This window comes from Homo sapiens, chromosome 8 (genome assembly GCF_000001405.40).
Source record: "Homo sapiens chromosome 8, GRCh38.p14 Primary Assembly".
NCBI classification, from domain to species: Eukaryota; Metazoa; Chordata; class Mammalia; order Primates; family Hominidae; genus Homo; species Homo sapiens.
In genome coordinates, this window is record NC_000008.11 from 138,933,789 (window position 1) to 138,945,480 (window position 11,692).

The following is an 11,692-nucleotide window of genomic DNA, read 5'->3' on the forward strand; positions in this document are numbered from 1 at the left end:
AGAGTCAGACAGTCATATAGCCTCCAGTCGCAGACAGGAGCTCAAGTATTGAACAGGAAACTGAGGCAGAAATTCCAATTCTGAACAAGATGGAGGCGACAGGGCACGGATTTGGCATGCAGATACCCCGGGCTCCCTCCGTCTCCATCCCCTCCTCCCCATCCCTGCTTTTCCATCCCTGTCTCAGATTCCAGGCAGGAGGCAGTTGGTTTCCAGACTCCTGTACTGGGGAAAGTGTTCATCTCCAGCCGGGGGTAGTGGCTCACATCATTAAACAGCCTGTAATCCCCGCACTTTGGGAGGCCTGAGGTCATGAGTTTGAGACCAGTCTGGCCAACATGTTGAAACCCATCTCTACTAAAAATACAAAAAATTAGCCAGGGATTGTGGCGCACGCCTGTAATCCCAGTTACTCGGGAGACTGAGACAGGAGAATCACTTGAACCCGGGAGGTGGAGGTTGCGGTGAGCCGAGATCACGCCATTGCACTCCAGCCTGGGCAAAAAGAGTGAAACTCCATCTTAAAAAAAAAAAGAAAGAAAGAAAGAAAAGAAAGAGTTCATCTCCTCAATCTCCTCCCTGTCAGAAATGGGTCAGAGAAATATTTTCAAAACTATCTCCTACGAGATATAAATAGATGTTTCATGAAAAAAGAAGGAAGAGGAGGAAGGGAAGAAAAAGAAATGGAGGGAGAGGAAGAGGAGGAGGGAGAAGGGGGAGGAGAGAAGAAAATCAATGACAACAACATGACGATTTGAGAAATACCAAGTTAAACACATTTCAACAGGTTCTTCATAATGGAACATGAAACATCATTAATATACGCCCAGGCATGTCACTCTCCAGGCAGTATTTCCTATACTTATTTCTGCAGGGAGCGGTTTTCCATAAAGCACTGTGCAGAGCACAGCCTAACAATTTTGACACCACGGAGATCTGATGAGACTGTGCTGGTGTAGATGTAGTATTTGTGACTGCCAGGTAGAGGGGCAGGAGAGGGCTGCAAGCTCCTCCCAGTGCCTCTTGAAGGAACCCAGAGCTTTGAGACCATGAGAAGGAAAAGGCATGGGCTAGAGACATGCATGCAGCTGCTCCTGAGGAAGGACACTGGCCCAAAGGCCGCACCTCCCTGCTGCTGTGTTGCAGATGGGCATTGACCTTCCACAGAAGCCAGGCTATGCAAAGACACAAAACGACGGTCTGCAGTGCATTCCAGGAGGGCCACTTCTAGTTCCCATGCCCCTGATAGAAGTCAGAAAGACCCACTGCCCAAGGCCAATCACATCTCACAACCTCAGCCTTCCCGGCTTTCCTGGGATGCAGCCCTGCTTCCCCAGAAGTTTGATGCACAAAAAGTATATTGCACGCCACAGCCATTCTCTCCAAATCTCCTCTTGTTCACTGGGCAGGAGGAGTAACTACTCGTGAACCACTCAATCTTCTCTTGGAAGGTACTGTTATCAACAAAAAGAACCCAAGGATCACATACCAGGAAGGCGATTTAGGTGATTTTGCAGCAATGCTGTTCACTGAATCCCACTTTTCAAAAATCCACCTTCTCTCTTCTGTGGGAACCCAGGGAACTGCATGAATGAGCACTCAACACTCTAAACGCAGGTCCAGAACTTGCAGGTGATTCATAAGATCGCTGCCCCTCTCTGAGCCTCAGATTCTGTATGTAGAAAATCAAAGTCCCAGAGGTTGGCACTTCCTTCACATAAGTAAGAAGCTAATACGGAAAAGCATTGGGCTGCTTCCTTTTGCTCGGACACCAAGGGAAAGAACCTTGAACCTATTAATGGAACCTCCGGGGAGACAGATTTCGGCTCAGAAGAAGAAAGCACTTTCTAATTATGATGTCCTGGGAAGGGTTTGAGCAAGGGATCACAGACAGCTAGGCACAGATCCTGGATTTAGAGTCTGACCAATTTTTATCTGAATTCCAGCATTTTCACCTTCTTAGCTGTGTAACTGAGGGCAATTTATTCAACAACTCTACGCCTCCAGTCCTTGTCTGTAAAATGTAGATTGCAATCAGTTAATTTGCTTATTCATCCATCATCATTAATTCAGTGTTTGTTCTGCTACACACGAGCACCACGTAAGAACAGCAGCATCCCACCAGGGGTAAACCCCTTGCAAGGAAAGTGCCTGACGCCATGTGACAGATGACAGGCGCCTAGTAAAAGCCGACTGGCATTACTTTTCAGTGGATGGAGCTGCCTCCAGAGGGAGTGAGCTGCCCCAGGAAGGCCAGGTAAGCTCTGAGGAAGGATGTGGAGGAGGGGACTCTGGCATCAGGCAGAGAACTCTTCCTGCTTGGGGGCCCCTGGGGTCTCTTCTGGCCACCCAGGAGAGGCTCATCTGGGACTGTGGCTCAGCCTCCCAGAATGGAGCTCTTTCCCCGGACCCACACAAAAAGCCAAGGAAAGTGCTAAGGGGACACATGGGCTGAGCAGGGCAGCAGCGAGACAAAGAGCCTTCCAAGAGGCAGCCACAAAATGGGCACTTCTAGGCCTCGGGGCAGCGACCGGCGCCTCCGCAGGGGCTGATTTCTGACGGAAGTGGGCCCTCTGGCGGGCGGCGGGGGTAACGTCCCTGCCCAGGGCTCTGGCCCCTTTCTGAGCCAGCCTGGATCCTAAGCACAGGACTGCTGTCTAAGGTCTGCAGGCATCCTTGTTGCAAACCCCAAAGCACAGGCATTAGTATGAACGGCGGGGAAAAGTGCATTCAGCCAGAGTGAATTGTGGTCAGGGAGGTGAATGAGCTTTATTTTGGAGACCCAAATGGACTCCCACCCCATGCCTTTGGAGTCATTATCCACTCTTCCCAGAAATCCACTATGGCTCATGGGCCACCTCATTCCTGTCGCTCATCCGGCATCCCACACTGTCCTACTCTGCGCCTTAGATTCTGATGCTAACGGGTGAGTCATGGGTGGGCTTAGGGCACATCCAGGCCCTGGGGCCGCAGATCTGGCAGGTAGCCCATGACTGACTCGCTGTCTTTTGCGTGAGCGTGTAGCATAAAATGCCTGATCATGGGCACATTGTTTTCCAAAGATGAGGCAATGAGTGAACTGATGCCCTTAGGTGTGGGCATTACTTTCTTTCTGAGAACTCCCCAATGCCACCTGGTTTTCATGACCCTCATGACTCTGCATGGCTGCCTGCACCTGCCCCCGTCAGAGACCATTTCTGCCTGTGGTCTGAGCAGAAGGGGGAGTGAGCCCCACGTCCTCCACCACCCACCACGACTGCCACCCCAACCACACTGCCTGGCCATGATGGGTACCTGAACTGGGTGTAGCCACCTGCAGGATGCCAGCAACCTACACCTAATGCCACTGGCATAGTAGATATGCCAGCCTATTTGCTTATCTACTACACAGGGACCCAGCAAGGACATGGCAAGGGGCTGTTGGAACCAACACTGAAGGGTTGTGTAGAGAGGGAAGGGGTACACTGGAGGCAAAGGGTGCTGAGATAAAGTTGGTTATACTTCTGGCTTATGGTGGTTAATTTTATGTGTCTATTTGGCTTGGCCATGGTGCCCAGATATCTGATCAAACATTATTCTGGATGTTTCTGTAAGGACATTTTTGGATGAGATTAACATTGAAATCAGTGGACTTTGAGTAAACCATATTGCCCTCCCCAATGTGAGTGGGCCTTGTCTAATCGGGTGAAGGCCTGAATAGAACAAAAGACTGACTTTCTGGGAGTGGGAGGTGATTCTGCAGATGGATCCCTTTGGACTTGAACTGCAGCATTGACTCTCCTGGGTCTCCAGCCTGCTGGCTCACCCTACAGATTCTGGACTTGCCAGCTTTTCTAAGTGCTTGAGCCAATTTCTTAAAATACATCTCTTTCTAGATATATCTACATCCTATTTCCTCTGGAGAGAAACTGTGATCAATGCACTGGCTGATGATGTCTCTTCTACTTCTTTTATCACCAACATTTAAAAAAGAAATATTTGGGCCGGGTGCGGTGGCTCACACCTGTAATCCCAGCACTTTGGGAGGCCAAGGAGGGCGGATCACCGGAGGTCGGGAGTTTGAGACCAGAGAGACCAACACGGAGAAACCCCGCCTCTACTAAAAATACAAAATTAGCCAAGCATGGTGGCGTATGCCTATAATCTCAGCTACTAGAGAGGCTGCGGCAAGAGAATCGCTTGAACCTGGGAGGCAGAGGTTGCGGTGAGCCAAGATCGCGCCTGGAAAACAAGAGTGAAACTCCGTCTCAAAAAAAAAAAAAAAAGAAATATTTCTTCTTTTTGTTTCCCTCCCTCCACAATTTCTACTGGCACTCTACTTCATTCAACAAATCACATTTTTTTTTTCTGGTTGTAAGATCAGTTTCAGGATTTTGCAGGATAATTAAGCCAAAGATGATAACACTTAACTTAATTGGTAGTGCTATTTAGCACCTGGTTACTAGTGCTCATAACTTATTTATCAAAAGCATTGTGTAAGGAAGATGTGAGAGATGTATTTGGGAGCTCAGGCCAGAAATGGTCAGGGCTTTCTCTGTGTGTGGCACAGAAAGTCCGGTGCTTCTTCCTTATCCATCACAGTCTGAATTTTCAACACTATATTCACAAGGTTTTGTGTTCAACAGGATTTCCTTGTGCTTCTATAATCACCAGAGTAACAATAGGTTGGTATCCACACATGCGTGCATGTGATCACATGTGTGCATGTGCCAGTACATTTATGACATGAGTGTATTCATTTATCCAGGAATAAAACTAAAACTTAAATTCCAAAATCACCTGTGAACCCATCAATGTGATGACTACTTGCTGCCCAAATGCTTCACATTTTGAAGTCTCAGGCAACCTCATGCTAAATAAGGTTTGGGCTGTGTTTATCTTTTCATCCCCAGCACCTAACACTGGGGCTGAGTACAGAGGGGGCCCAATTTTTAAATGAATGAATTAAATTATTCATTTAATAAATGTTGATTGAGCACCTACCTATTGTCTGCTAGGCAGAGTTCTAATTGGACTCCCCATTTGGATGGCAGAAGTCAGTGGTAGGTAGGCTGGGCACGGTGGCTCAGGCTGGGCGCGGTGGCTCACGCCTGTAATCCCAGCACTTTGGAAGGCCGAGGCGGGCGGATCATGAGGTCAGGAGATCAAGACCATCCTGGCTAACACAGTGAAACCCCGTCTCTACTAAAAATACAAAAAAAAAAAAAATTAGCCAGGCATGGTGGTGGGCGCCTGTAGTCCCAGCTACTCATGAGGCTGAGGCAGGAGAATGGCATGAACCCAGGAGGTGGAGCTTGCAGTGAGCCGAGATTGCGCCATTGCACTCCAGCCTGGGTGACAGAGCAAGACTCTGTCTCAAAAAAAAAAAAAAAAAAGAAGAAGTCAGTGAGTCAGTGGTGGGTAAATAAATGCACAGAATCCTGTCTCCCACGTGCGTGTGTTAAAGGACATGAAACAGGGGCATGAGACAGAATGATAAGGAAGGGGTCATTGGGGAGGTGGCATCAGCACAGAGCCTTGGTGATGCTGGATACTTGGTTTTATAGAGCGGTTTTTTTCCTTGGGAAAATCACTTGCTTCCTGCATAGTGTATCAAATCTGACAATAATTTGCCAGGTATAAATTAGAGAGGATACAGAGAGGCCAGAGAGGCAAGCCCTTGACAAGTATAGGAGACTTTCCCCGTGACCTGGACTGTGTAAGAGTCCCATCGCAAAAGGTATCTCTGTTCTCTCAGCTACCAGGAGGCACCATTAATACCATTTTGAAATTATGAAATTTGATTCTTCCATATTTGTATTTATATTTAAGTCTACTTTGAGATTTGATTTATATTTATATGAATGGACTTTTTATGTATTCGCTTTATTGATTTATATAGTTTTGTATTTATAATTATATTTATAAAGTCTCCTGCAGAAATCCAGGAATTTGTAGAGACTAAAGGAGTGTGCTTGCTTTCAGTTTTCTCATACATACATTTCTGTTTTTTCTCTTAATACAAAACAAATGCTGTAGAAAATGTGAAGTCTACTAAAAAGTTTAAATATCAAAATTAAAAATCCTCACAAATCTTAAACTTCATGAATATTCACTGCAGACAAGCAATTTGGTTCTCTCAGACTCTTTTTTTAATTAAGAAAAAGCTATTTTGAACATTACTGAGAATATACAGTAAGTAAATATGTCATGGTTTGATCACTGAATTTAATAAATATTGGCCAACATCACTACAAACATATCCTAAATATTATTTTAAATCCCTATAGTGAATTCTACTTTATGTAAATAGTATATTAGTAAATTATTCTCCATGCCCTGAATATTTTGATTGGTTTCTTCTTTTTTCATATTGGGAACATCCTGCAAAATTATTGCATCATTTTACTGCTTTCTCCTGCAGCTAAGGGTCAAACCAAAAGACAGTACCCATTTTCCTAAGGCGTTTAGAGGAGTAGTTAAAGAATTGTTCCTGCAGCTTCACAGTGGACGCTCTTCGGGCTGGCTCTTCTGCCATTCTCTTACCTTTCCTTTCCCCTCAGCATTGCAAGAGGAATTCCGTAAATCCAGAGATCCCATTCTCAAAAGACGGACAAGAAATGGCAGGACGCAAGAGCACCATACAGGACTCTCCTCGATTTCCCAAATGCCACCCCCCACCCCCCACTCACGCCTCCCACCTCCCCCAATCCCCCCACCTTCCCCCCACCCCCCCACCTTCCCCCCCACCCCCCCACCTTTCTCCCCACCCCCCCACCTTCCCCCCCACCCTCCCCCACCCACCCCCGGCACAGCGCTAAGCAGAGACACTTCCTTTGGTCTTGTTAGAAATTGCTCTCTCCTCTGTCTATCTGGCTGTAGGGGAGGCTAGGAAAGGCTGCAGCCACCTAAATCCACTATATGGGAGAAGGGAGCCAAGGAGAAAGAGACTAGAGATGTTGTTGGGAAGACAATCATTATTATTACTACTCACTAAAATCGTCTTTGTTCCCAAGCCTTTTTCTGTATTCATTATTTTCTAAAGAGTGATTCTCTCTAGTGGAGCTACTGATCTAAAGGCTGTAAACAGTTTTAAGTATCTTATACGTATTAACAGTTGTGTTCTAAGATGGTGTGTTTGAATTATTTTTCACTGAATTACTACCACTGAATGTTACGATGAGATCTTTTGCATAGTCTTTGATGTATTCAAGGAAATTGAGATCTCTCAACCTGGTAGTGTTGAGCTGATGTTGGACCGTGGTGTATGTAAGCGTGGCTGTGGCATGAAAACACCATGTTGTGAGTGTGTGTCCATGTGTGTGTATGCACATATATGTGTCTGTGTGAGTATATGATTATCTGAGCATGTGCACATAAGTGCATGTCCCTGTGTGCATGTGTAGGCACGTGTGTGTGTGTGTGCATGCATGTAGCTCTGGCTTGTCATTGGCAGAAAAAGGGAGTAGGGTATGGTTTCCCTCAATTAGGTGAAACCTCAGTTTCCAGACTTCTAAATAGACACGACGATTTCTGCACTATTATTCTGACTGGATTTCCTCTGCGGCAAGTGAGGAATTCACTTTAACTTTGTTTTTTGTTTTTCGTGGATGTTTGTTTGTTTGTTTGCTTGTTTTGAGATGGAGTCTCACTCTGTCACCAGGCTGGAGTGCAGTGGCACAATCTCGGCTCACTGCAACCTCCGCCTCCTGGGTTAAAGTGATTCTCCTGTCTCAGCCTCCCTAGTAGCTGGGATTACAGGTGCATGCCACCACATCTGGCTAATTTTTTGTATTTTTAGTAGAGACGGGGTTTCACCATGTTAGCCAGGATGGTCTCAATCTCTTGACCTTGTGATCCGCCCACCTCGGCCTCCCAAAATGCTAGAATTACAGCCATGAGCCACCACGCCCGGCCTACACTGTATGACTTTGGACAAGTCACTGTTCTCACTAAATTCCCATCTCCTCGTCTTTCCAAGGAGGATAACTTTTCCTGTGTCACATGGATTACTGTGAGAAACGTGAGAGATCATGTGACATGCTCCATAAAAGCTGAGTCCTAAAGGAGGAGTGAGCCAGATGATTCCAAGGGGCAGGAGGCCTTAGATAGAGTGTCCTGTGGCAGGTAGGAGTGGGGTAGTGCTGCTGCTGATGACGATGATGAAGGAGACGGGCTAAGGGCGTGCTGCGGTAAGGGCCCTAGGGCCACAGAAGCCTCAAGCCTGTCAAGGGCCCATCAGGGAGTCACTGGTTACCTCTGCTGGTTATGAGTGGTGGCTTATCTTCTGATTCTTGGCCTGCCCTCACGGGTCAGGGAGCCTTCCTTCCCTGGCACAGAGTTGCAGGCAGCCTCCTGTGCATACCTTCCCAGGCTAAGAGAAGGGGGCTATATCTTTGTCTCTAGATCTTTGATCCCTGTGCCCTGAAAGAGTAGGATTGAGACAGAGGGAGACGTTCATTGAAGCAAGACCCGAAGAAGATGCAGCTAGGTCTGTGAACGTATCAGATGGCTTGTAATATCTGGACCCTTTGATTGAGAAATAAGCTTTCCCAGTATCCTTGAAAGACTCTGCAACAAAAAGTAAAGGGTGACTATGGTGGATCCCAGTGTCTCTGGAGGTAATGTGAGAGGATGGGGAGATGGGCCCACAGTCTGGAATCCAGACTCCAGGTTTCCTCTTCTTGCTGCTCAGATGGGGTGAGACTCCTGGCCTCCCTGAGCCTCCCTTTGCTGTTTGATGGTGGCCTCACAGATCCCCAAGGGTCTGTAGGCAAACCCAGCCCTGCAGACTCCCATCCTCCAAAGGTGGAGAGTTACTTCCCATGGGAGAAATCACCTCAAGCCTCCTCTACTCGGTGCAGTGACGCACAGTGCAAAGCGTGACGAACGCCCGGCCATGGCCTCGCCTGCCCGGCCTCCCTTCCCCGCTTACTGACTTTCCCCTCAATTCTAATTGGACCAGTCATTTAATTTCACTTCGGCTTAATGGCTTTCCACTGTGGCAGCTGGGACAGAAGGTCAAACTAAAGGACTTCAGTCCTGATCAAGAACAGCTTCTGACCAGAAAGGCAGTGGTGAGCATAGCTCAGGTCTCCAGGGAAAGTGCGAAATGGATTAGGCAGGTGGACTCTGGAAGAGTGTTACAGTCCTCCTTCCATCTTGTGTAGATACGGGGTACTGCTCAGGCAGCCTCCACAGAACAGAAAGATTCAGGGCTTTTTGGCATCTAAATAGGGCTAATATTTCATATGTTGTCATGTGTAATTTGTACTTTATTTATTTATTTATTTATTTATTTTTGAGACAGAGTCTCACTCTGTGGCCCAGGCTGGAGTGCAATGATGTGATCTCAGCTCACTGCAAACCTCCTCCTCCCGGGTTCAAGCAATTCTCCTGCCTCAGCCTCCCAAGTAGCTGGGATTACAGGCAGCCACCACCACACTCGGCTAATTTTTTGTGTTTTTAGTAGAGATAGGGTTTTGCCATGTCAGCCAGGCTGGTCTAGAACTCCTGACCTCAGGTGATCCACCCACCTCAGCCTTCCAAAGTGCTGACATTACAGGCATGAGCCACCACGCCTGGTGAATAATTTTAATAAATATCTAGATTAGCCGGGCGTGGTGGCTCCCACCTGTAATCCCAGCACTTTGAGAGGCTTCCTCACAGCCTGCAGAACCATGAGCCAATTAAACCTCTTTTCTTTATAAATTATCTAGTCTCAGTTTTCTTTTTTTTTTTTTTTTTTTTTTGAGACAGAGTCTTGCTCTTTCGCCCAAGCTGGAGTGCAGTGGCGCTATCTCGGCTCACTGCAAGCTTCACCTCCTGGGTTCATGCCATTCTCCTGCCTCAGCCTCCTGAGCAGCTGGGACTACAGGCGCCCACCACCACGCCCAGCTAACTTTTTGTATTTTTAGTAGAGACGGGGTTTCACCATGTTAACCAGGATGGTCTCGATCTCCTGACCTTGTGATCCACCTGTCTTGGCCTCCCAAAGTGCTGGGATTACAGGCGTGAGCCACCGCGCCCGGCCAGTCTCAGGTATGTCTTTATAGCAGTACGAAAATGGACTAATAGAGCATCTATACACAAAAGTGCAATATATCACATTAGCGCCTCACATTTCTCTTAGTACCCACTCCCAGCCCCTTAAGATACAATCAAAAGAACAATGGATATGGAATCAAAATAAACAAGTTACTGGCTGGGCACGGTGGCTCACGCCTGTAATCCCAGCACTTTGGGAGGCCGAGGCGGGTGGATCACGAGGTCAGGAGTTCGAGACCAGCCTGACCAACGTGGTGAAACCCCGTCTCTACTAAAAGTACAAAAATTAACCTGGCGTGGTGGCACAGGCCTGTAATCCCAGCTACTCAGGAGGCTGAGGCAGGAGAACTGCTTGAACTCAGGAGGCAGAGCTTGCAGTGAGCCAAAATTATGCCACTGTACTCCAGCCTGGGCGATAGAGCAAGACTCCGTCTCAAAAAAAAAAAAAAAAAACAACAAGTTACTAACCTGGTTTTCTTTTACCTGCTTGACCTTCATTCAAGTTCATTAAACTCTCTTAGCTTCAGCTTCCTCCCCTGTAACCATGGTATAGTAATCCTTTCTTGGTAGGAGTTTCGTGAGGATTAGAGAGGATGGAAGTGGAGGTCCTGGAGCAATCCTTAACACAGAACAGGAGTTACATTCTTCTAAGATTTGGTATTTATTGAGTCCCCACTGTGAGCCTGCCAGGCCAGATCTGGGCCCTAGATACAGAGATTAAAAAAAAAAAAAAAAAAAAAAAAGCGTGCCCAGCCTATGAGGAGCTCTTTTTCTATGGCGGAAACAGATGTGATAAAGGGCTGTGCAATACAGTATGATGTGTGCTGGGGCTGGGTAAGGGACAGGGGCTGTGGGATTCCAGAGGAGGGACTGACAACTGGGCTATCAGGGAAGGCTTCACAGAAGAGGTGGAAAATGGCATTCATGATGAAGAATGGGTGGAATTGGTTCAAAGAGTGGAGTGGCAGGAGTGTGACTCAGGTAGGTGTGCATGCTAGGAGCCTCCTGCGCTAGGAGGGCATGAGTTTGGGGAGTGGCCAGGAATTTGGGTATGGTGGGGATACTTGTTGAACTAAATATTTTGAGGCATTGTCTTATGGGCTAGAAATAGGATTCCAGTTTCCAGGCCAGGATTTTCTACCAAATTTCTGTATTTCTTTGAAAAAAAAAAAATAAAAGAATCAGAAACCTTTCTAGGTTCTGGTCTTCCTCCTCTTTAAAATGAAGAGATTGAATAAAACTAGCTTCAAGACCTTATTTAGTTCTATGAGGCCATACAGATAGAAATTTGATAATGTCACATGAGGAGGCAATGACCTGGGATCTGGATTCCTGACAATGCCCTTTAAATGTCATCTCATCAAGATTTTCTTAGTCATTATTATAATGGTTTGCTCCCCTTCTTGCTCAATAAAAAAATGGACATTCAATCTAACTTCAAATCTCAAAGATAACTAATTTGTTAAACCAGTTTGGTAGGATGAGTCAGCAGCATACACAAATCTGAAGCGCTGACATGCTTGATGGCTTCATGTGGCACTAAACTCCTAACGATGAAGCTTCTGCATGTACTGAACACCTACTGTGTGCCAGGCACTGGGGGCACATAGACAAAGAGACATAGCCCCTTTCTTTAAATAGCACACCTTTGGGAAGAAACATTGAA

The 11,692-nt window shown here is 46.7% G+C and overlaps 1 annotated feature.

The window, feature by feature from the left end:
• Nucleotides 2,398–2,692: an enhancer, noted in NCBI's record as "tiled region #3511; HepG2 Activating DNase matched - State 12:CtcfO, and K562 Activating non-DNase unmatched - State 20:ReprD". NCBI's record gives its function as "activates a minimal TATA promoter and a strong SV40 promoter by Sharpr-MPRA in HepG2 and K562 cells {active_cell/tissue: HepG2 | K562}" and the evidence as "EXISTENCE:reporter gene assay evidence [ECO:0000049][PMID:27701403]".